Source organism: Homo sapiens, chromosome 17 (assembly GCF_000001405.40).
Source record: "Homo sapiens chromosome 17, GRCh38.p14 Primary Assembly".
NCBI classification, from domain to species: Eukaryota; Metazoa; Chordata; class Mammalia; order Primates; family Hominidae; genus Homo; species Homo sapiens.
The window spans coordinates 15,008,109-15,034,098 of NC_000017.11; the positions used below are offsets into that span (position 1 = coordinate 15,008,109).

A 25,990-nucleotide genomic window follows, 5' to 3' on the forward strand; every position below is an offset into this window, starting at 1 on the left:
CCTTGAGGGCAAAGCCAATACAGAGAACACTAGAAGTGACAGAGAGCAGCAGAGTCTTGAAAGCACTCTTTGAGGCCCTGGTGCTGGCCATGCCTAATGATTCATCTCTGATTTGATTTTCATGAGATTCCTCTCTTGGCATAAGGCACCATTTCAGACCAGAAGATCCAGACTTCATCATTTACCCCTCAAACAAAAAAATCTGGGATGGAGCCTTGGTTTTTTGACTCCTGTGGCACTCTTGGCTAATCATTTATAGTTTGAATGCATCAGGTATCCTCATTTATTAAACCAGAGGGTAGATCAAGGTCAATTCTCAGTTCCTCAATTCTGTTATCTTATTATGAACTCCATGATCTTATAACCTAACACCATCTTTAAGTTCATATAAATATAATTTCTTCTCTACACTTAATTGCCTGATGATATGGCTCACTTTAAATGTGTTCATTTATCGAAGGAATAAAAAACTTGACCTTGTAAGTTTTAGCAGCATTACTTTTTATTTATGATTAATTCTAATTCCTGTTGGCTAGTAGGAGAAAAAAACAAGGATACTTCCAACGAAACCCATTACTAGAAGCAGCTGTCTTGTCAAAGAGCAAGTAGGGTGTATCTGAAGATGTTTGATTGGGGTCCCTTTTCCTATACCCACATTTAGAGCCTTTTTTTCATCCTTAGACTCAAATCTTAGCCTCATCCTTCACGTATCTTTGAGCCAAGTGGGACAAAAATTCTCTGCAGACACATACAGTAGTGCCAGGAAGCTTTTCTGCCTGTCTCTCACCCAGCTTCTGTGTTCAGAGCAAAAAGATATCTTTTCTGTTCACAGCTTACAAAGTATTAATGTCTACTTGTTTCTTCACCTGCTGCCTCTAACCCTAGAATCCTGGAAGTATATCCTTATTGGATTAGTGGCAGCTAAATGTCTCAAAACGAATAAAATTACCCTAGTAGGAATTGTTCATAGGTAATTTGTAAAATGAGGATGCCCTGACATCTTTTCCCTTGTCATTAGACAGCTGGAGAGACAGACCCTGGCTTTCGTTTTGATAACAAACAAAGCTCCACGCAATTCCTCTAAACACCCTCACAGGAGGAACTAAACAAGCCTATAGACCAGCAATAAATGTGGACTCACGTCACTGAATAGGCCTTTTCCCACGTATAAATCAGAGATAACGAAATTTGCCAGGTTTCTGCTTTAAGCTCCAAATGGGGGTAGAATTGTGGGTCAGGGAGTAAATTGCTGTATCAATGCAATACATTGATTTGTGAGCATTTCGCATTTGGTTTGGGAAAGAGAAAAAGGGGGCTAATTCAATTTGTACTAAGTGTTTTCTTTCTCCTTTAAGTTGATCATTGGAAATTCTGGCAGTTGCTAGGCAAAACTTTGGTGGTTCTGAAAAATCTACCAGGAAGCTAAGGTAAGGAATTGCTGAGTCCTGGGGGAGACAAGTTTGACAACTGAATGTGCAACAAACACTTGAGGTCAGAGCATTTATTCCCTGCTGGGCCGTGGTGTGCAATGGCTGTGTGCCTCTGCCCATGGCCACGTATCTGTGATGTGGGTCCTTCCCTTTTACAGCAGCTCTCTCACTTTGCCCCTTTGCACATAGAGCTGTTAATGACTTCCTGCCTCTGGTCATCCCTGGTGTACTTCTCTCCTCTGTTAGTTCACTCTTAAACTCTTTCTGGATATTTGGACCACCACATAGAAATGGACACATATTAATGACATAGATAAAAATTGTGAGCCACAAAACCCAGATGTAAGAAGTCAAAAGAGCTGTCATTAGTCTGTCCCTCACTATCTAAATTGTAAATGGATCTTTTTTCACCTTCTATGTCTGTAATCTACATTATCAAAGATAGTTTTCTCAATTCCATGTGGTTTCAGCCCCAACACACCTGTGAATACACATGCACACACCCACACATTTCCAATTTAAAGCTGTTTGCAAACACCAGGATGTTTAGTGACACTGCCCACCTCCTCTACACCCTGTAACCCCACCAACGTCAAAGAACAAACACTCTGTCGATTACTAATCTTCCCAAACCTTAGGTAATCTACCACCCTCCAAACCCCAGGTTGCCCCATGCTTCATCCTTTACCCAAAAAGACTGATCATCAGTTTTATGTGTCAACTCCGCCAGATCACAGGATGCTGGGATATCTGGCTAAACATTATTTCTGAGTGTGTCTGTGAGGGTGTTTTCCTGAGAGATTATTAGCATTTGAATCAGTAGACTGAGTCAAGCAGTTTGCCCTCCCTAATGTGGGTGGACATTATAGAGCAAACGGTTGGAGGAAGAGAGGATTCACCCTGTCTCCCTGCCTGACTGAACTGGAATATTGATCTTCTTCTGCCCTTAGCTCTCCTGGTTCTCAGGTCCTTAAACTCAGACTGGAATCTCCACCATCAGTTCTCAAGCCTTCCAACTACACTGCTGGCCCTGGGACTCCAGGTGGCGGAGGGCAGGTAGTGAGACCACTTAGCCTCCATAAGCGCAGAAGCCAATATCTTATAACGAATTTATTTATATGTATTCTATTGGTTTTGGTTCTCTGGAGGCCTCTGACTGGTACAAAGACCAAATGTGGATGTCTCAGGACCCAAAGGACCTGGAGAAGCAGACACAGTGGACTGTGGCACCGTGCTGTAATCACTGCCCCAGACAGCATGAACAGCTCCTGTCAGGGCACAGGAAGGTAAGTGAGGGGGGAGAATAGAGATAGGATAACATGAGACCAGTGGCCCAAAGAGCAGCCTCCATCAAAATTGCCTCTTTGTACTTGGCACCTAAGAGCCAAAGGTAGTGTGAAGATGATGTCTTATTATAAAACCCGATGTCGGCCGGGCACGATGGCTCACACCTGTAATCCTAGCACTTTGGGAGGCCAAGACGGGCAGATTGCCTGAGCTCAGGAGTTTGAGACCAGCCTGGGCAACACGGTGAAACTCTGTCTCTACTAAATACAAAAAAGTTAGCCGGGTATGGTGGTGTGCGCCTGTAGTCCCAGCTACTTGGGAGGCTGAGGCAGGAGAATTGTTTGAACCTGGGAAGTGGAGGTTGCAGTGAGCTGAGGTTGCATCACTCCACTCCAGCCTGGGCGACAGAGTGAGACTATGGCTCCAAAAATAATAAATAAATAAATTAATTAATTAATTAAATATTTAAAAAATAAAGTAAAATCTGACGCCTGCCTAGACTTGCTCTTGGAAGCCAGGAAATCAGATGGCTCGCAGGAGCTGTGGTCTGCAAAAGAATAGAATGGGAAGAGGTGAAGAAAGGTGCCTGCAGAGATGCACCAGAATCAGGAAACAGGATGTGGGACTTAGGTAAGCCCTAAAATTTTCAGGCTTGAAATCCAGTGCTTAGCAATCTTGCCTACGTACACGTCGTAGTCTTTTGTTTCCCTTAGCCTCAATGACCCTTTCCTTTTAGAGCCAACTTTGACTACACATTGGAATCATCCCAGTGGGGAGGCTTAAAAACACTGATACCCAAGTCTCATCCCTCCTCCTCTCAGACTTTAACCCATCTGTGATGTGGCTTTGGATATTTGGATTTTTGTAAGTTTCTTCCGTGTGATCACAATATGCAGCCAAAGTTAAGCATCACTGTGTTAGAAATGTCAGCCAGACTCACCTATACTCAGGAAAGTACAGAAAGGGCTTCTTAGCCATCTTTGTGTAGGTAAGAATAGGTACTACTGGCCCCATGCAGTGGTTCACGCCTGTAATCCCAGCACTTTAGGAGGCCAAGGCAGGTGGATCATGAGGTCAGGAGATCAAGAACGTCCTGGCTAACACAGTGAAACCCCATCTCTACTAAAAATACAAAAAGTTAGCTGGGTGTGGCAGCACATGCCTGTAGTGCCAGCTACTCGGGAGGCTGAGGCAGGAGAATTGCTTGAACCCAGAAGGCGAAGGTTGCAGTGAGCCAAGATCGCGCCACTGCACTCCAGCCTGAGCGACAGAGCAAGACTCCGTTTAAAAAAAAAAAAAAAAAGTATAGGTACTACTATAATCCTTAAGCTGGACTTAATGGCAAAGGGATCAAAATGAGACTATACTGCAGAGGAAATACCACAGTAGTATCTGAAGAATGCCCAGTAATGCTCTTTCCCCTCTGAGCAGATTATTTTCCTTTCAGACAGTGGTTCTCGAATGTTAGCAGCATCCAAATCATCCAGAGGGCTAGGACTTGTCAAAACACAGACTGCTGGGCTCCACCCCAGGAGTTTCTGATTCCGAGAGTTGGAAGGAACCCTAGGAATTGCTTTTCTGACAAGTTCCCAGGCGAAGCTGATGGTGCCGATGCAGGGCCACACTTTGAGAACCACTGCTCTAGAGAAAGTTCCTCTCCATCCATGCCTTACTCTGCCCTATTTTATGTGGTTAAGGGAGCTCTTCCTTTACAGCTCCATGGGAGCCTTCCCACTCTGTGACCACACAGAGGGAAACATCCATCATCCTGGGCCAGAAAAGGCAGCAAAATTTTATCTATTCCCCCAGCAGGTGTTTGCAAACACAGCTGCCCGGGGCCATGCAAACACTCACTGGGAACTAGGGATTTACATGGCTGTCATTAAAAATCTTGGAGCCTACACAGCAAAGAACGCCCATGTGTCAGCAAGAACATTTCTTCCTATGATCACAAATGGTTTCCATTCCTGAAGAAAATCCAGGAAACGTGGGAAGAAAAATTGCCAAGTCTTAGTCCATCCCAAAAATGAAACAGAAAGAAAAACTCTGGAAATATATTGGCTCTTCTCTACCCATTCTTGCACTCCTCTTTGGAATAAATAGATTTTTCTTGTATTTCTCATTTTCAATATTTGCAAGGAAACAGTCCCTTGAGAAATAGGTAGAGTATTTGGAGAAGATTCACTTTTATTAATACCTGAGTAGCCCATTTTTTTTCCTTTCTCACAAACACAAACATCTTATCATTCTCTTTTAATTATTGGTGTTTTTTTCTTTTTATACATGGAAACAAATTTTAGAGATAGAAAATACCAGTGGTGCTAATTTCCCTAGCCTCTGTAGAAGAAAATGTAGCAGCTGGGACAAGTGCATGAATTCTACTGGGCTCTTCCACAGTCACCTCTTTACAAAGGCTCAACTTAGCCACCCTGACCCCCCAGCCCAGGTGAAGGTCACTGTGATGGTTAATATTGAGTATCAACTTGACTGGACTGAAGGATGCAAAGTATGATTCCTGGGTGTGTCTGTGAGGGTGTTGCCAAAGGAGATTAACATTTGAGCCAGTGGACTGGGAGAGCCAGAACCACCCTCAGTCTGGGTGAGCACCCTCTAATCAGCTGCCAGTGCAGCTAGTATAAAGCAAGCAGGAGAAGATGGAAGAACAGACTTGCTGAGTCTTTCGGCCTCCGTCTTTCTCCCGTGCTGGATGCTTCCTGCCCTTGAACATCAAACTCCAAGTTCTTCAGCTTTTGGACTTGTGGACTTACACTAGTGATTTCCCAGGGGCTCTCAGGCCTTTGGCCACAGACTGAAGGCTGCACTGTCAGCTTCCCTACTTTTGAGGTTTGGGACTCAAACTGGCTTCCTTGTCCCTCAGCTTGCAGACAGCCTATCATAGGACTTCAGCTTGTGATCATGTGAGTCAATTCTCCTAATAAACTCCCCTTCATATATACATTCGTCCAACTACTTCTGTCCCTCTAGAGAACCCTAATACAGCCATGATCTCATGTTTCTTTGCATCTCAAACACCTGCTGAAGCTTTGAGTTCACAGGGGCCTGAATCTAAAAGTTGTGACTTACAAATGGCAGGTTGCATCACTGGGTTCCTGAAATTGCTATGCGTATGTGCCTAGGCCGCCGAGACCAGGGATAATGGACACTGGACCAGAACGGACATGGTTCTGCAGGCATGATGAATTACCCCGGGGTAGCCTGAAATCTACTGCATGAAACACTGATGCCATGAATGTCAGCTGTCACTGGAAAAAAAAAAGGGTGCCATGGACACAGAAGTTTGGGAAATACTCATTGAGTTAAAGAAAGTGAATCATACTGGTTTCTTTATTTTAGGACTCCTCAGAACTTTTAAGATATTAATGTGCACGATGAAGTTTCAAGAGGGGATTTATTTGAACACAGGAAATGTATGAGATCAGAGAGTGGAAAAGGGGGATTCTCTTGGGATATTTCTGAGGACTATTTTGGGAAAAACAATATATTAGATAACATCTACTTTGGGGCTGGACACGGTGGCTCATGCCTATAATCTTAGCACTTTGGGAGGCTGAAGCGGATGGATCACTTGAGGTCAGGAGTTCAAGACCAGCCTGGCCAACATGGTGAAACCCGTCTCTACTAAAATTCAAAAATTAGCCAGGCGTGGTGGCATGGGCCTGTAATCCCAGCTACTCGGGAGGCTGAGGCAGGGGAATCACTTGAGCCTGGGAGGTGGAGGTTGCAGTGAGCCAAGATCGCGCCACTGCACTCCAGCCTGGGCGACAGAGTGAGACTACATCTCAGAAAAAAAAAAAAATCTACTTTGATATTTTCTCACATAAATTCTGTGTTCCAAGTTCTAAGTTTCTATGATGTGGAAATAAGTCTTAATGAACCAACAAAACTTAAAGGTGAGGTCTGAGCCAGCCCCAAGTCATGTACTTATGACCTAAGAAGCAAACCATGGTGAAACTTTCTCAGTGTTCCACCTACTCCCTTTCCATCTCCTTGCTGGGCTAAGAAAAGGATTCTGGTAAGAAAAAAAAAAATCCAAGAGAGAATTTTAAAACATTAACTTTCAACTTTTATAGGCATATTTTAAACTTTTTATTTCACTATCTTACATATAAAATATTTGGGTGAGAATATTCTTGCCAAGAGCTCTATGCTGCCTAGAGACCTTTACACAGGCCAATGCATCTTGGTGGAAATCACTTTTTCTTAAAGAAATATGTAAATGGGTATTCAAATGCAAAGCCCAGAATCAGAGACTGAGCTATCTCTTCTATACTAATTTCCCTCGCTGACCTCTTGTGCTGTAGTAATATATCATTTAGTTTGACATCTGATCAAATCCATTAGTGTAAAATGTTTTTGCTAATTAGTTATATTGTTTTCTAACAGTTTAAATGCTTTAATGCTCCAAAATTCTATTATATCATGCTGTGTTAATTGTATCGTATTACCATAATGTTAATTATATAATTCTATCATTGAATTCTCATAATATTACACTTATAAACTAAGTATTGTCAAAGTATTCCCCTTTTATAGGTAAGAAAAGAAAGTCAGAACAAAGTTAAATAATTATCTCAGGTCATACAATTAGTAATGGCTGAAGCCAGGACTTAGATCAAAATCCATCTGAAACCAAAGCCTGTGTTCTTCACCATCACCTTAAGTTGCCTTTCATAATTATTGGAATAAGACTGAGAAAGAGGAAAAATGGAATCTTTAAGATAACTTCTTCAAGTAAATATCAAAATGCCTTTAAACTTAATCATTAAAAATTGGAAATAGATTTTAGTAAATAAATAGTAACACACAAGGACAGATTGAAAAAATACAGTGTTTTATGATCTGCAAATTACATCTCACTTATAATAAATTTTATACCAAATAAACAGCTCTATAGATAAAATCTTATACAATGGGGCTGTAACTCCTCAAAGTGTACACTGTTTTTTTGTTTTGTTTTGTTTTTGTTTTTGTTTGAGACGGAGTCTTGCTCTCTCACCCAGGCTGGAGTGCAGTGGCGCGATCACGGCTCACTGCAAGCTCCACTTCCCAGGTTCACACCATTCTCCTCCCTCAGCCTCCCGAGTAGCTGGGACTACAGGCGCCCGCCACCACGCCCTGCTAATTTTTTGCATTTTTAGTAGAGACAGGGTTTCACCGTGTTAGGCAGGATGGTTTCAATCTCCTGACCTCGTGAACCACCTGCATCGGCCTCCCAAAGTGCTGGGATTACAGGCGTGAGCCACCGCTCTCAGCCCCAAAATGTACACTTTTAAAGATGCATTCCAAACTCTTAGAATCAAGGGATTTAAAAAAAAAAAACAACAACAAAAAAAAAAAAAAACCTACCACCAAATTGGTGGGAGGAGAAAAGAACTTTACAGTTTACAAAATGCAATTGATCTTCAAGTATGGTAAAACACACTCATTTGTACCAATTAACTTCATTATTCTATTTGGAAGATTTCTCTCCCTCTCTGTATTCTAACCTTCTTTAAAGTTTTTAGTCTGAGCAATCTTTACTACCTTATTTCTAGTTAAGATTGCAATAATTTGTCATTGGTGTGCAGGCACTTTCTTAACTATTCCTGTGTTACAAATAAAAGAGCCAGTATTGCTCGGGAGATTATCTCAAGGGCCCTGAAAAGCCAAGCACTATAAAATCGTTAGACATTGAAGATGCGAAGAAAACCCATAAAACAACGCATAAAAATGTGTCTTCCCATGCCATTTATACGGAAAGATGGTGCAGTTCAATCCCTCAAGCCAAAGACTATTTTAGAATTCAAGTTTCAATCAGAACTTTCAGAAAGGAAGAGGTTTCACTCTCTTTGACCCTCTTCCTTTGGTTGTAAAACAGCCAAAGTTAAAATCATGTGCTTTCTTGGCCTTTCCATTGGCCATTTTTGTTTTTTGTTTTTGTTTTTTTTGAGACAGAGTCTTGCTCTGTCTCCCAGTCTGGAGTGCAGTGGCGCGATCTCGGCTCACTGCAAGCTTCGCCTCCCGGGTTTGTGCCATTCTCCTGCCTCAGCCTCCCAAGTAGCTGGGACTGCAGGCGCCCACCACCACGCCCGGCTAATTTTTTGTATTTTTAGTAGAGACGGGGTTTCATTGTGTTAGCCAGGATGGTCTCGATCTCCTGACTTCGTGATCCGCCTGCCTCAGCCTCCCAAAGTGCTGGGATTACAGACGTGAACCACCGCGCCCGGCCTCCAATGGCCTTTTGATCTCTCTCTCTTTCTTTCTCTCTTTCTCTTTCTTTCCCCCTCTCTCTCTGTCTCATGAAATCTGCTTCTTCTAGCGAATATTATTTCTGGAAAATACCTGCTCAATCAGACCTCCAACTCCTGGAGAAAAAAAATACATATTTATTTAGGCAGATTTATAATTAGAAAAAAATCTGATAAATGTAGAGGTTCATACTCACTTGAAGAGCCGTTGAATTAACCATTCAAGGGAGTTGTTTTTTCTTTAAAAGACTAATTCTCTGGGTGCATAATAGATAGTTATCATTCTAGCCAACAGTATTAATTTAGCTCTGCCAGGCAGCAATCAGTGTGAACACCAGAAGAAAAGTTAAGGATGGCATCACCAGGTAGGGAGGAAATCAAATCCCAGGTATCATAGTTTTAATCTCACGATGTCCAAAGACTAATGTGTCAGAGGGAATCAGAGACAGCATCCAGAGGGAGCAAAGGACATCAAAGGTGAGTGAACTCTGGTCCTAGAGCAGAGAAGGTCTGTTTTCTGTCATTTTTTTACACTGCATTCCTTGTTAGTTTTGAACATAGATCATGATGGCCAGGAAGATGGCAATGATTTCCTGGTACGCTGTAGTAGTTGCTGTTAACGCTGTTGGTACTCTTCCCCCTTGTATCATCTTAGCTGTCACCATTTCTGCACACATCAATCTGACAGCTTCCAACCATGAACACCTATGTCTCTTTGAGCGCTTTCTCTAGTTATCTGAACCTGCCCAGAAAGCTGGAAGTGCCAAGGAGTTAGCAGCTCCCCACCGCCCTCAAGCAATAACTGACCAGAGTTGAAACCTCGGAGGAATCTTCCACACTGCCACTGAGAGTTCCCCAGCAGGAAGGCCTCAGTTGTGTGTGGTGTGTATCTGCTTCATTTCCTTCCCTGCCTTATATCCCCACTCTTTACTGATGTTTCTTGGAATCACCTCCCAGATAAACTTCTTGCACTGGAATCCTTGTGCCTCCAGAAATGCAGCTGAAAACATAGGCCCACGCTGATAGAGAAAGGAAGGGAAATCAGAAATTCTAAAGTTATCACAAGATCCTAAAAGTGCCCCAATGTCAATGATCCTATTTTTGTGTCTCAGACATGTTACTACAGATACCATAAAACATATGTAATTCTACAGGAGCTAGGTCTAGTCTGTGGATTACCAAGACCAATTTTCTGAGCCATGCCCCATCCAGGCAATCAGATGAAAAGAGTGTCTTTCTGTCATTTAGGGAAAACCATGATTCATGGAGACCAGCGAGGTCTTTGCATGTGATCAGGATGGCTGGTCAGGATGCCTATCATGCATGCCACGTAAATGTTTCAATTGTGGGGCTCTGCAAAGGGTTTTACGTGAGTAAGTGTGGAATGCATTCAAGAATGAAAATTATCAAGTATTCAGAAGGAGATGGACTCTGGGGCTCTGAGAAATGTTCTTTGTGAGCCCTTTGAGAGTTAGGAGCCAGAGTTTTGAATCCCACACGTGGCTCAGTTTTCAGTCTGAGTAAAAACATCCGTGGGGTGCTAGACAAGATCAGTGCCTGGGAGACTCGGGAGACTCAAAACCGGGACATGAACAAGGTACTTTGTTTATAAGGAAATTATACGGGAACCTTTAGAAAGAAAAATGTGGTCTAACAGTAATTGCATAGTTGGTGCTGGAGTAGAGCACCAGCAAGCAGCAAACCCATAGGAATGGGGTTCATTAAACCTTCTGCAAATGGCAGGTGATGGAGGAAGGTAGAGGATAACACCCTGTGGGGAAATCTTGGGACATTTTCATGGCTGCAGAAACTGCTGGGACATTTGAGGAATATAAAGGAAGTCAATGTGGTCAGAAAAATAAACACAAGGAAACTGACAAAAAATTAGATTGCAAACTAACATAAGAACCAGACATATAAAGACTTGTAAACCATGATAAGGACTTTGGGTCACATTCCAATTGCAATGGGAGACCATAGGGGCAGTTTTGAGTAGAAGAATGATATGCTCACATTTAAATTTTGAGATCACTTTGGCTACAGAAGAAGATTGGCCTGACATTTACCAAATATACTAGAAAATGTGCTTATGATATACTAGATATTGTGCTATACCTCTCAGTGCATGTAATCCTTACTACATCTTGACAAAACAGGTCATTTTTATTATCTCCATGGCTCAGAAAAGATGTGTCTAACCCTGAGTCACCCACTGGTAAGTGATGGAGTTAGGAACTGAATCCAGACAGAGCTAATTGCAAAGACTGAACTCAAAATATACCTCAGAGTACTCTCGAAAGACCATATGCAAATTCCCTCTCTCCAACCCATCACCTAATGCTTGTTGATGTTCTCATGGGTTCAGTAAGTTATATCACAGAATCCACTGTCTATTCAATGGCTGCCCAATATGAACGTGGAGTTTTAATGGAACAGGTTTTTGTTTGGGGGCCCCACTTCTCTAGCGTTACAGGTGTGCCTTCTTCTACACATAAATCTACTGATACTATTACTGAGCTGAATTTAGGTCTGCCTGCTCAGTGCAGAAAAGCCAAACACTGACATTGAGATCTGCAGCGAGAGAAAGTGAGGCGTTTACTGCAGGGAATCAACCAAGGAGAAACCGGCAGCTCATTCTTGAGAAAAGAATTCCCCAGTGGCTTAAATGTAAGGGTGTTTTTTGAGACACAGTCTCTCTCTGTCACCCAGGCTGGAGTGCAGTGGCGGGATCTAGGCTCACTGCAACCTCCGCCTCCCGGGTTCAAGCGGTTCTCCTGCCTCAGCCTCCCAAGTAGCTGGGACTACAGGCACCCGCCACCATACCCAGCTGATTTTTTTTGTATTTTTAGTAGAGACGGGGTTTCGCCATGTTAGCCAGGATGGTCTCGATCTCCTGACCTCATGATCTGTCCGCTTCAGCCTCCCAAAATGCTGGGATTACAGGGGTGAGACACTGCGCCCGGCCACATGTAAGGGTTTTTAAGGTGGGGAAGCAGAGGTTACAGGCAGAGTCATAAGCCAATACATGGAGGCGATCCATTAATTTGACCTAAAAATTCAAGACATCTTCAATCAGGGGCTTATAGGTCACAGGTAGATTCAAAGATTTTCTGATTTGTAATTGATTAAGGAAGTGAAACTTTGTCTGAAGACTTGAGGTCAGCAGAAAAGATGTTAGGTCTGAACCTGTAAGCATGACCTCCTCCAGGCCTCTCGGGAAAAAATTTAGAACAAAGAATGGCAGTCCGGAGTTCAGTCCTCAGTTCCTTCTTACCTGGGGTGTATGCACCAGGGGATCCATTTGGAGGGGGTCTAGGTTTCTAGAAAACAACTCAGGGACATATGTTAAGATGTAATCTTGGTCGGGCACTGTGGCTCACACCTGTAATCCCAGTACTTTGGGAGGCCAATGTGGGCAGTTCATTTGAGGCTGAGGAGTTCGAGACCAACCTGATCAACATGGTGAAACCCTGTCTCTACTAAAAATACAAAAAAAAAAAAATAGCCAGATGTGGTGGCGTACACCTGTAATCCTAGCTACTCAGAAGGCTGAGGCAGGAAAATAACTTGAACCTGGGTGGCTGAGGTTGCAGTGACCTGAGATCTCACCACTCCACTCCAGCCTGGGTGACATAGTGAGACTCCATCTCAAAAAATAATAATAATAATAAATAAATAAATAAATAAAAGAAGAGATGTTATCTTTATGTCCATCAGTGATGGACTGGATAGAGAAAATATGGTACATACACACCATGGAATACTACACAGTCATAAATCATGTCCTTACTGCAGCCACATAGATGGAGCTGGAGGCCATTATCCTAAGTGGATTAACATAGGAACAGAAAACCAAATAGAGCATTTTCTCACTTTTAAGTGGGAGCTACAAACTGAGTACACGTGGACACAAAGAAGGGAACAGTAGACCCTGGGGCCTATTGAGGGTGGAGGATGGTGAGGAATGAAAAACTACCTCCTGGGTGCTATGCTGATTATCTGGGTGACAAAATTATCTGTACACCAAACCCGTGCAGCACACAATTCACCCATGTAACAAACCTGCACGTGTACCTCTTGAACCTAAAATAAAAGAAAAAAAGTGTTATCTTTAGTTTCTGTAGGGAACCAAACATCTCCTGACTCTAACTTCCTTGGCTGTTGTTTTAAAGCCACTGTTACCTTCTTGCTTAATCGAGTTGCTCATTTGCTTCTCAGGGCTGGCTAGGTGTCTAGAATTTCCCTTGGAGGAACTCAAGATTTTCCCTTATTTCCACGGTTGGGGGTTCCACAGGCCCAAGTGGGAGTCCGTACTCCATCTCATTACCTGTTTATAGATGCTACATTCTCACTGAGTTTTGAGGGCGGGCTGGAGGGACAGCAGGACATAGCCTGGGGCCATTGTCACTTGGGGCCCTTGAGTCTCGGGATCTCTTTCAGTAGGCTCAGGCTGGTGCTAGGCTTTTCACTGGGACCTTAGCAGTGTCCTTGTAAAACCCTACAAGAGTCGTAAATGGTTCTTAAGGAGACATTTGCCCAGACCACTTTTTTATTTCTGTAAATGTGAAAGATTAAAGTGCACTTTGGGGCATCTGTCCCTGCTTCCTGCAGACTTGCATTTTTTTTCATCTATTCCTGACAAGCATGTATCAACCCTGTCCTAAAATCTTTACAGAAAGTGATCCCACAAGTTCTGCATTACAGGAAAGTATTTCCATTTGGTACTTACAGAAACATTCCTGTTACCCAGTGCCACTTAGGAATAAGCAAACCCAGATCCACGCTGCAGTTTCTACAGATCCTTGCATGTCTCCCACCACATCCTAGGTGCCCTCATTTACTGTCTTGTTTATTTCATCATCTCAAATTCTTCACAAGTTTGATTGTCTGTAATAACGAACACAAATTGAGACTGCCTCCTGGCTCACAATGATTCTCTCAGTGGTGATCATTCTTCCACCATAGCCTCCCTTCTTATAAGATGTCCTGGCCGGGGGCAGTGGCTGACGCCTGTAATCCCAGCACTTTGGGAGGCTGAGACGGGCAGATCGTGAGGTCAGGAGTTCGAGACCATCCTGGCTAACAGTGAAACCCCATCTCTACTAAAAGTACAAAAAATTAGCTGGGCGTGGTGGCGGGCGCCTGTAGTCCCAGCTACTCCGGAGGCTGAGGCAGGAGAATGGCCTGAATCCAGGAGGCGGAGCTTGCAGTGAGCCAAGATTGCGCCACTGCACTCCAGCCTGGGTGACAGAGCAAGACTCTGTCTCAAAAAAAAAAAAAAAAAAAAAGGTGTTCTGATCCCTGGCCACAAGCGGTAAACAAATGACCCAATCAGAGTTATTCACACTGCCTCACCACCATCCCCTGCCATGGCTCAAGGGATGAATGTGTGATTTAAGCCTGGCCAATCAGCGCACTTTCTAGGAAGTTTTTTTCTAGTTAAATTGGAAGAGGTATCTGGGTGCAGTGGCATGTGCCTGCAGTTCCAGCTACTCTGGAGGCTGAAGTGGGAAGATTCCTGGAGCCTAGGAGTTTCAGGCCAGCCTGGGCAATATAGTAAGACCCATCTCTAAAAAAAAATGAGAGAAGCCTTTTCCCTTCTCCAGACATGGAGATGTTGCCATGCTGGAGGCCATATTGTCAACCATGCAGTTGTGTTGCACTGTGACGAGGTAGCCACAGGAACAGGGAAGCAGAGAAGGGAAACCAGCAGTTTCCTGATGGTGTGTAACTCCCTCGTTACAGAGGTTACTACTCCTCCTCTGGGTTTGTTCATGTGGAACCACTAAATTTCTCTTCCTTCTTTAAATTGATTTGAATTCTGACAAGATCCAACTTTTCATTGGATAGCAAAGAAATAAATTGAAGAGAAAGGGGAAAGAAGCAGCTCTATAGGAAGGGGCACCCTGATGGTGGAAACGATGGTTGATAATCCCACACCGAGAGAGAGAACTGGAGAAGCAAGGAGCAGGCAGAGCATGCACTTCCACAGTGCAGTGCGGGATGTTTATAACTCTGACCCTGAATCTGTGCCAAAAGTTCAATAGACTCTGTGTAAGTGAGGGATAAAATAATAGATATTTTAGAGATATTTTAATCCAAATGGTGAATTCTTTTTAGAGCTCAGGTGTTTGAAGGACTGGATTTGGTTAGTAAGATCTACATGCTGAATTCCAGATAAATAAAGCACTTTAAAAAGGATTTTTACCATATCAAATTCATAATTTTTCCCAACACTCTACAATTATTTTCTCTTACAGACTCTATTTTCTATTCCAAATGCAAACACTTGTATAAACATGGATTTCCTTTCATTTCTTTTCCATTTTCTTTTTCTTGCTGTTTGATTCATTCCCCTTTCCATCATTTGGGCCTGTTGGTCTGCAACTTGCTCTACCTTCAGCACTGGCCATATCCCAGTCCTCAGAATTGAGGTGTTTTTGTTGTTGTTTTTGTTTTTTGTTTTTTGTTTTATAAATTCTTTTTTTTTACTTTGTTTATTTTTTTATTTTTATTTTTTATTATACTTTAGGTTTTAGGGTACCAAAGGTGCATTCGTTCAAAATGCAGGGCCTCTACCTTCTGGTAGTTTATCTCCTGTGCTAGCCCTACGGCCCTACGGTCACGACCCCAGCTTGCAGCCCAGGAAGTGGTAAGGCAGATCCATGAGTTAACAGACTCTCCTGAGTCATGGTTCTAACCAGTACTCATCTTCCTAGGAGAGAGGCTCTGCTCAGCTCCTGCCCATCCCCCAAAGATGTACCTTTGGTAAATTCCACTTCAGCAGCTGAACTCCTGTGCCAACTCTATAGCTCTCCAATTATTGCCTTCCCCTTTTGGGTGCCCCTGCATATCCAGCAGGAGAGCCTCAAAGCGGGGCTTAGCCCACAAAAGTTCTTGGTTTGGGCCAGGAAAGAATTCAAAGGTAAGCCAGTGGTAGGGTGGAAGAAAACAGCTTTATTGAAGAGGCGGTGTTACAGCTCCAGCAGTGATACAGCTCTGTGACTGCTCCTGCAGAGCAGGACTACTCCATAAGGTAATGTGCTGGGAGGAGCAGCTCAGGGCGGTTCCCAGTCATATTTATACCCACTTTTAATTACATGTACATCCGATTAAGGGGTGGTTATGCAAAAGAATGATTGCCGTGGAAAGGGGCGGTAACTCCAGGTGTTGCCATGGCAGTGGTAAACTGATGTAGCACATTGGTGGGCATGTCTTATGTAAAGCTGCTTCCACTCCATTTCTGTCTTAGCTAGTCCTCAATTTGGTCCGGTGTCTGAGTCCCACCTCGAGTCCAGTCCCACCCCCTACCTCACCACCTCCTGCCAAATCACCTGGGTACAACCGGTTTGAGTCCAGTTATTCCTGTCATCTCCCACTAGGTCATACGGACCCCTGCTTACTCACTCGGAGTGTCTTTCTCCTGTTACCCGCTACTCTCCACCCTCTGCTAACTCCCATTAGGGCCCATCTGGGCCTATCATGCAGCTGCTGCTGCAGGTAACATTTCTCTGACTCCAAGTTTTTCTAACTGTGTGCATTTCTACCATCCCACCGACCCCCAAATAGCCATGTCCCACAGGTATTTCTAATCGAGAATCCAGCTTTTTGTCTCCATTGGTGTTGAATATTATATCTGCTCCTTTTATTAGTATAGTTTCCTAAGTATATGATTTCCATACCTTCTGGCATGTGAATCTCCAAGATTTTTTTTTCTAATTCTTCTAAGCTTTATATTGAATTTTACCAATGACTTGTAATTTTTTTTTTTTTTTTTTTTTTTTTGACGGAGTCTTGCTCTGTCGCCCAGGCTGGAGTGCAGTGGCATGATCTTGGCTCACTGCAAGCTCCACCTCTCAGGTTCACGCCATTACGCCATTCTCCCACCTCAGCCTCGCGGGTAGCTGGGATTACAGGCACATGCCACCATGCCCGACTAATTTTGTTTTTGTATTTTTAGTAGAGACAGGGTTTCACCCTGTTAGCCAGGATAGTCTCGATCTCCTGACCTCGTGATCCGCCCGCCTCGGCCTCCCAAAGTGCTGGGATTACAGGCATGAGCCAACTCACCCAGCCATGACTTGTAATTTGTATTGTATTATATCTATGCCGCCACCCCTTTAAGATATCTGCCATTCCACTTCTATCGTATATTTGTGTTTTTGTGTAATATTTGCATATGACTTTCTTCTTTTTCCCTTTTCAATGTTCTTACTTTTTCAACATTCTGCCATTCTTGCCAAATTATGCATCTTGTAATTCTATTTCTTTTGCAAAGAGGGACTCCTACCGTTCAGTGTTTTATCTTAGGTAAATAAAATTTAAATTTTTTGAGAATTTAATAATTAACTGAGAACCTGTCCTTTTCTTGCTACTTAGTTAAACCATAATTTAATCAATTGAAAATAATTGTACATTTATTATTTATAGCTTGCTCTTACTGTTGTTTTCCAGTGGTAGGGATGTGAACTGTCTTTGGGCTACATTATTCTTATTATTTCGTAAAATATTAAAAATAGTCTTCATCAATGAGACCACTTAACTGACATTCAGAAAGCAGCAGAATTGTTTGACCCAACTTGTCTGATATTTTCAAAATCTTTCACGTAATAATTCATCCTCCTCTTATTTTAATTTTTCAATTATTTTCCCATACCTATAATAATTAATATCTATCCATATATCCGATACTGCTGGGTCCTGAGTTTCCTTCCTGTTCCAGCCATTGGACCCTGCGTGTGATCCCTCTTTGCTTTGAGTCACCCGCTCTCAGCTTCACTGCTCAGTGCAGCAGAGGCTCCTATGAGCAGTCCCTGGGGGGGCCTCACCTAACTTTCCAATAACAGTCTCGCCCGGAGCACACAGTGCAATTTATTTTCCTTTCTAGATACGTTTTTGTATTGTGTGAATACAGAAGAAAAAAATGGTTTTTCTTAAGGGAAACAGAAAAAAATGAAAACTGAACAGTAATAGAAAAATGGTCAAAGAACATGCAGAGGTAATTGACAAAAGAAATTCCCATGGACAATAAACATATGAAAAATGTTCAACATCAGATAAAAAATGAAAATTAAAATCATGAGATGCCCCTTTCATCTAACAGATTGGCAAGATTAAATACATTCTCAGTGTCAGAATTTAGAAAACTTCCTAAAACATTGCATTTGAGTTGCCGGAAAAGAAGATGAATTGCAACACTCTAAAAGCTAGCTCAGCAAAATATATCAAATGCCTTAGGTTACAAGTAACATTTATGCATACATTTCTAGAAATTTAACTTCTTGGTTAAAAGGAATAAAGAGTAACAGTAAACTTTTATCCATATGCATAATTATAACAACGTTATTTAGAATAGTATAAAAAGGGAAACAACCTAAATGTCCATCAACTGAGGATTGTCTGTATCAGTTTTATTCTGTCCATGATGGAACATATGAGGCCATTAGAAGTCACACAGTATAAGAATATGAAGAAAAATTTTACTGTATGTTGCTAAGAGAATAAATCAAGTGCGAAAATAATATGGATGGCTTAAATCAAATTATTATAAATTATTTTTGAGAGTTGTCTAGATGCATAGGACAAAATACCAAAAGATGACAAAATGAAAAGTTATTGGAGGCTATTTCTGGGGGTTCCAACATGGAGACTTTTTCTCTCTTGTGCTTTTCTATGTTCTCCAAATTGTTTATGATTTTAAAAAACTTAACTTTTTAAAAAGAGTCAACCTTTGGAAACACTGAAAGTGTCCTATAATTCAATGTCAGCACCTATCTGTTTCCTGTTTCCTCTAATTCATCTTATTTCCCCTAAACAGTAATGCTATGGGGCGGGGTGGCGGGTGGGGATAAGCCATCTACTACTTTTTTTCCTCGTTGTTTTGTTGTTAATACTCCTTCAGTATTGCTCTTTGTTCACTGAAATATGAAACAGTGGCTGAAATAGATCCAGCATCTTGCCAGTTACTAGAACCAAGAATGAGAGCAAACAATCACATGGTGTTTCCTGAGTTCCGGGAACTGTTCTAATAATGCACGTGTGTGTGTGTGCACGCGTGTGTGTGTGTATTTAAATTCTCACACAACAGCTCCATGAGATAGATCTTAATATCATGCCCCTTTTATGAATGAAGAAACTGAGAAGCCAAGTGACCTACCCAAAGTCACACAGCAAGTGCGTGTCCAAGCCTGGATTCAAGCACAGTCAGTGGCCCCAGAAGCTGTGCCCATCATCACCATGAGATGCCACTTCTACAAGGATGCAAGATGCACACAGTATGGCTCTTGTGTTTTCCATTCTTTGCCATTGCGCTATTTCAACCGAGGTCTGGGTTAAGTAAGAATTTTTGGGCTGACTTTGATCCTTAACTGCCATTTATAATATTACTTCTATAGAAAGAAATCACTACCCATTCTAAGCAACTGACCTTCAAATGAAATTTCTGAAAAGTCTATTTATAAGTTGGGGTCTGCCTGTTTATCTCCCAAGGAGATTAATGCCAAGGGAAAGACATGTGTTTCCATCCAAAAGAAATGTCTGGAAATTATTTGGCCTTTGGATCACCTCAGGCCATCCATCTTTAGCCAGGAGTTTACTCTGAAGACTCTTCATCAAGTGCTTAAACCATGAATAAAGACTCTTCGGAATGCTAACATCAAGTCACAGACATGGTTTTGGAAGCCCTAGAATTTTCAAATGGGCACACACATACTTCTGGGAAAAGAGTCCTTCTTGGCCACTTGGCACTCTTGAAGAGAAGGCAGAAAAGCATGAAAGCCGAGCATTTCCTGATCCTTTCAGAAGTAGATGAATGTTCAATGAAGATAAAATATTCTAGAAGAGAGAAAAGGCTGAAGGGCAGGAGAGATTTAAGCTGGCATAATTTTCATTGTTCCTAAATATATTCTAATATATGCTTGGATTTGCCTGCCAGAAGTAGACCACATAATCAACAGGTTGCAAAAAATTGCTTACTGAGCTATTTCAATCCAATTTCTAATAGCAATAGACAGAATACAATTTTGCTCCATTTCCCTTTCCAAAAGGTAAAGCTGTCAGAGAAGTTTACGTAAAAGCAATACAGCAATATCATACTGTATCCTTAGAAAAATGCATATTTGTACACATTTTCTCCTTCATCAGCAAGAGAAAATTGGGAGACTCAGAGGTAACAGGAGAAATCTCCCTAGCTGAGAATTAAATCAGGAAAACTAAAGATACAGTTTAAAAGCTTTTTATACAAAACCATCTCATTTGGAAAACCAAAACAAGCAACCATTCCCAAATTGCAAGGACATGAACCATGTTGTCACAAACTGGAAATTGTACAAGATTAGGAAATAACAAAATCTAATCTCATGGAAAAAGAAATCATAGTCATCTGAAGTTCCACAAAGAATGCTGTCCAGCTTTATTACTCTAAGGAAAAATTCTGAGTAGAAAGTAGTGACATTTTCTGGTCATGGCGATAAAGCTCCTTTACATGTGGTATACATTCAGTGAGTGTTTGAAAACAGATCCTATTATAGGCACATACTTTTGATACATGTGTTTAACACTGATTTAGTTTTTACACATAGCAGACTTGTATTACATCTGGTTCTCAAAGTTGAGAGATTCATAAATAATCTGCATATTGCGTTGTTGGTTCCTTTTGCTCTGTTTGATGAAAAGAAAGCGTGTTTTTACAAGGAGAAAAAGACTTTTTAATCATTCATCAGCTCTGTTAATAAGCACTCTAAATCCTAGAATGTGGGCTTAGATTTCCTGAAGACTTTAATGGCATAATATTTTACAATTATTCTTCACTAAGGTGTCATTTTATTGTATTGACATTTTTTTTTTGTTTCCATGTTTACGTCCAAAGATACTGATAACAGACTAGAACTATAGAACTGCACTTTCCAAGGTAATAGCCCCTGGACACAGATGGCTATTAAGCCCCAGAAATGTGGCTGGTCTGAATTCAAATACACTAGGAGAATAAAATACACACTAGATTTGAAGACTTAGTACAAAAAAAGAAGAATGCAAATCATCAACATCATAATTTTTATATCATTGACATGTTGAAATGATACTCTTTTGGATATACAGTAACATAGAAAATATATTTTTAAAATTCATGTTATCCATTCTCTATTCTCGGTCCTGTCCCCTGCCCCAGCAGGCTGACCTCTGAGGACTGAGTCCCCCAGGCTTCCTTGATGGCAGGTTCCTGGTTGAGTTCAGCCAATGGGTGGCCCTGGCAGAAGATCTGAGTGTGAGAAAAAGGAGCAGGCAAGGCAAGCCTTTACTCTTCTCCCCTCCCTACCTTAGGTCCATGTTTCTTAGAGAAGCTGGGCGTCACGGTGACAACAGCTCTAACTTGGTGGCTCCTGCTCCGGGACTCCACCTTCCCTGGGCTCTGAAAACACAGTGTCCTGCTTCATCACTTAGGGAAGTAACACTTCCCACTGTTACTATTCTCTGGGTGCCTTGTCACCCTTGGTTGGTTTCCTTAGCCCTGCCACTCTTTAGTTCATCCCTGTATTAAAACCTATTAATGCATTAGGCTTTTATGCATTAATAGGTGCATTTGAAGCACCTGGGGTGAATTCTGCCCCCTGCTGGGACCCTGCCTGATACACAAGCCCATTCTTTTCTCCTATATAACAGTAGAAAAAGCCAAGATCCAAGACCCACGAACAAGATATCTTAGATTATGTTAAAATGAGTTTAATGCATTGAAATCAGCATATGTACTCTTTCTTAGTGATCCAGGAGCTCCTTGGTGACACAATAAAGCCAATATGATTTAAACCCTGCCCACAGTGGCCAAGCCACCCTCTCACTTCAAGAATGTGAGCAAATGAGGAAAGTCCACAGAAAACAAAACTGTGCAGCTGAAATAGTGCCCACAGAGCTACAAACACAGTGTTTGAGAGTTTAGAAGAAGAAATGTATGGATGTGGTCTGCATTTCCCACTCAGTCCTGCAATCATTTTTCTAGTGAACAGCAGGAAATGTGAACATTGGCTAGAGCATAAAATCTGGGTATCACGCAAGGTGTTGCAGATCTGTAGTCCTGGCTACTCAGGAGGCTGAGGGGAGAGGACACCCTGAGTCCAGGAATGCAAGGTTGCAGTGAGCAGTGATTGCACCACCGCACTCCAGCCTAGGTGACAGAGTGAGACTTCGTTTCTAAAAACAAAACAAAATACTGGCTAAGGCAGTAGCAGGTGGTCATAATAATAAGTGTAGCTAATGACTATCTAGTATCTCCTATTTGCCTAACATTCTGCTAAATACACAACTATTGCTGTCACTTCTGAACAGTACTTGTCATTTTCCAGGTACTTTTTGTAATAACCACTTTACCTCTATAAGTTATAATAACCACTTTATATATATATATAACCACTTTAACTCTATAAGTTATAAGTAAATTATATAATAGATATATAACCACTTTAACTCTATAAGTTATAAGTAAATTATGTAATATATATATAAAACCACTTTAACTCTGTAAGTTATAAGTAAATTATATATATATATATATAATCACTTTAACTCTATAAGCTATAAGTAACTCATATGATTCTCATAACAACCTTAGAGAAAAATACTATGGTAGTCTCCATTTTACAGATGCAAAACCTGGGGTGCAGATTTTAATCAACTTGCCCAAGGTCCCATAGACAATAACTGCTGGAACTGGAGTTTGAGTGAGGCAGCCCAGCCCCAGAGACTTCATTCATGGCCATTATGCCCTACACCTTCTCGTAGGCTGAGTTAATCTTCACAACACCCCCATGAAGCTCTGAGGAGAGCAGAGGTTCAGAATTGCTTCCCAAACTCAGCCAAGATCATGAGACTAGTCCCCATGACACTATACGGCCTCCCAAATAGACGTGGAAAATGAACTGGGGCCAAACTGTAGAGAGCTTGGATGAATAGTTTAGTGCAAAGATGAATACTGTAGTCAATCTCTCCTTACTCCTTAACTTCGCTCCTCTTCATTGTCCCCCATGCTTCGTGCTCTGGGTAAGCCACCCAATCATTATCTTTGACTCCTTTTCCACATCTCACTCCATTATCTGCCTTCCTCTCTCTAATAGTTTACCTTTCTTCCTCATCTTCCTGCATTCACTTCAACAGTACCAGACATTTCACAATTGGCCAACTGTTATCCACTTTCTCCATCCCTACCTTACATGTGGAAGAATGGAACTAACCCCAACAAGCTTCATCAGCCACCTTTGATTTTCCTAAGCCAATCAGCAGGGCTTATCTACCTATTCACAGGAATTGGTTCAGGGACAGACCTAGCCGACTGCTGGAGCCAGCTCCCAGGGGCTTCAGAGAGTCCACTGCAGGCCCCTCTACCGCACGCTGGGTCCAGGGACATCGCATTGGTAGTTTGAAATCAGCCATGGTGAGAGAGTTTATGCCATAAAAATCAAACGCTGCATGTCAGGGTTTTTTTTTTTTTTTTTTTTTTTCATTTTTACCTCTTTTTCTTTTTTGAGAGAGACAGACAGGGAGAGAGCATTGCTAGACATTCATCTGTACACTACCTGGATGAACAAGACCTAATTTAGGTCCATGAGACGTGAGGAGATATTTAATCAGGGTTTGGAGAAACCATGGAAGAAGAGTCTATTCTTTTGTGTAGGGAGAGTTATAAAGAAATTGGATGTGAGACTACTAAAGCCATTTTGGCCATCAAAGGACCTAACCAGAGGACAGAGTTGACACACAGAGAAGAGATGCTCTGAAAGGATCAAAGAGGTCTGGAGTCAGAGCGCTGAGGGTGTGGACTTCTGAATCCACCCCCAAAGCCCGTATGCCTCTTCACTCTTCAGTTAAATGAGCCAATAAAGTCCCTGTTTTAAAACCAGTTTGAATTGGGATTTTTATGGCCATCAATTGAAAGATGTTGTGGGGATACACAGAGTTATGACTTAGGAGCAAGGCCACCCCTATTGCAGAAGCCCAGGGGCACGATTCACTTTGAAGTCTTTGTAAGGGGGAGTCCTTCCTTGGAGCCGGCAGGGCCCAGCCTGTGCAGCCACATGTGGCAAATGTAATGTTATGCCTAAGAAACAGCCTATTCCCCTCTATCACTCAGCAGGAAGCCCAAATTCCCTGCTAGTACCCCACTGATTCCTTTTATTTCACTGCCGATTTTCATTCATCTCTTATTACCCTGCTGCATGTAAGACACCATTGCCCTATTTTTATTTTTTCACTTCTTCCAACAGCCAACTTTTACTGTTTTTTACCCTTATTCTCTGTCTTCTATAGCCTTTGGGAATTCCTAAAAAGAATAAACAGATTTTTAAAATCCAGGCCAGCTCCATCGATTAATCAAAGTTTTCCCGTCAGTCTTACAAGCATTTATCCTGTTATTTTGCTTTCTGTTCAACCCATGTTGACCAAGCTGGCTCATTCATCATCCGCCAAATATGTCCAACAAGTATGTGTTTCAGCACCTTTGTGTGTGATGTTCTCCTTGCCTTGAATTCCAAGATCCTTTCATCTTCCCATATTGAAATCTCGTTTCCAGCAATTCCCAATTCAAATCCCTCCCCCTTATGATTGTCTTACTCCAATATTATCACAAGAAACAGACTTTTTTCGCCAAAAAAAGCTAAATGTATTTAATAAAAAAAATACAGGGCTAACTCACAGAACCTAAGGCATAAAATGCAGCCAGGTCTCATATGAAATTGGAGTAAGAGAAACCAGAAAATCAGGAATGGAAGTTACTCTGTCCATCTCTGAAGCACCCCGTTCTCACTTGTCTGCTTCTCTATTCATATATGTTTCATTGTTGTTGCTCTCTTCTCATCCGCTCTCTGGATTTTGCATATATCTGGTGGTTTATTTGTTTCATCGATTCCAGAGTCCAGTGGAAACAGAGTAGGTTCTCACTATGTCTCAATTTCAAATGTCTTGGAGGAAAAGCTAATAGCCAAACCAAGCCAATGGGTTGTTTTCCCCTGGGGGTGATGTCCACTCCGTGACAAGTCAACTGTGAAAGAAGGTACATGACTACATGGCACCTTTGACTGTTCCTTCCAGGGACGTGGAAAGATCAGACTCTCTAAAGAGGAGGTGTAAGGGCATGGAAGAAGGGATTGGCATCCCTAATATGGTAATCGTGCCTTACAGAGTGATTCCACATCCCCTACTTCTTACTACACTTATCTAATACTGTTGTAACTTAGATTCATGCCCTACTTTCCCCACTAAGGTACTAGGAACAGAAACTAGTCTATCTGCATCTTATGTAAGGATCACTATTGTAGTTGGATTTTCCAGAAAGCAGACTCCGAGATATAGGTTAGCATGCAGAATATTTATTAAAGAACATCTTTGGTATCAAGTTCTGTAGAAGGAAGGGGAAAAAAGCAGGAATGGTCAGAAGGAAACTGTGAGCAAATTCATGACAATGAAGTCCAAATCCAAATGACAGCCTCAGCCTACCCTATGGGGAGCTCCGGAGCAAACTTAGCATTGTCCTAGTAAGGCTGAGATCACCAGGCCTGCATCCTGCATCTACCAGTCACTGGGTGTGAACTCTACCAGGGATGGGGTCATGTATTTGGGTGAGGGGTCCTTCTGCAGCTGAGGCAATCTGGAAGGGCTAACAGCTGGATGCTGGGTGCTGACAACAAGCTCAGCAGCTGCAGCAATAGGTATTTTAATGAAAGGGGGTCTGGATGGCACACCACAATGATCACAAAGATGACTGCAGCCACCATTGTGCCTTACACAATGCATGTGCTTACACAACTGTTAGCTACTTCAAAGCAGCGGTGGGGGGGGGGAGAATAAGAATAATTGTTAAATGAAAGAGTAGAATTGATTTTTTAAAAAATCCCAAGATTTGAGGCTAGCAATGTATACAAATTCCACATCTGCCTCCTACTTTGACTTTAAACAAGTTACCGAGCTTCTCTGTAACTTCCCTTCACTCCCCTGAGATGATAGCAAATATGCTCCATGCATGTCTGTCCCTAATATTTGTGTGAC

General features: G+C 42.0%; 2 long non-coding RNA genes across 2 annotated transcripts in view; both read left to right on the top strand.

The window, feature by feature from the left end:
• The first annotated feature begins 6,696 nt into the window (after window positions 1-6,696).
• Window positions 6,697-25,990, top strand: part of LOC101928475 (uncharacterized) — a 37,472-nt gene continuing 18,178 nt past the window's right edge. Inside the window, exon 1 of the long non-coding RNA NR_135638.1 lies at window positions 6,697-6,750. This is a non-coding gene — a long non-coding RNA (uncharacterized LOC101928475). The remainder of the gene's footprint in view (window positions 6,751-25,990) is intronic.
• Window positions 22,867-23,849, top strand: CDRT7 (CMT1A duplicated region transcript 7). Its single transcript, NR_033371.1, has 3 exons — window positions 22,867-22,993; window positions 23,108-23,384; window positions 23,487-23,849. It is a non-coding gene; the product is annotated as a CMT1A duplicated region transcript 7 (long non-coding RNA).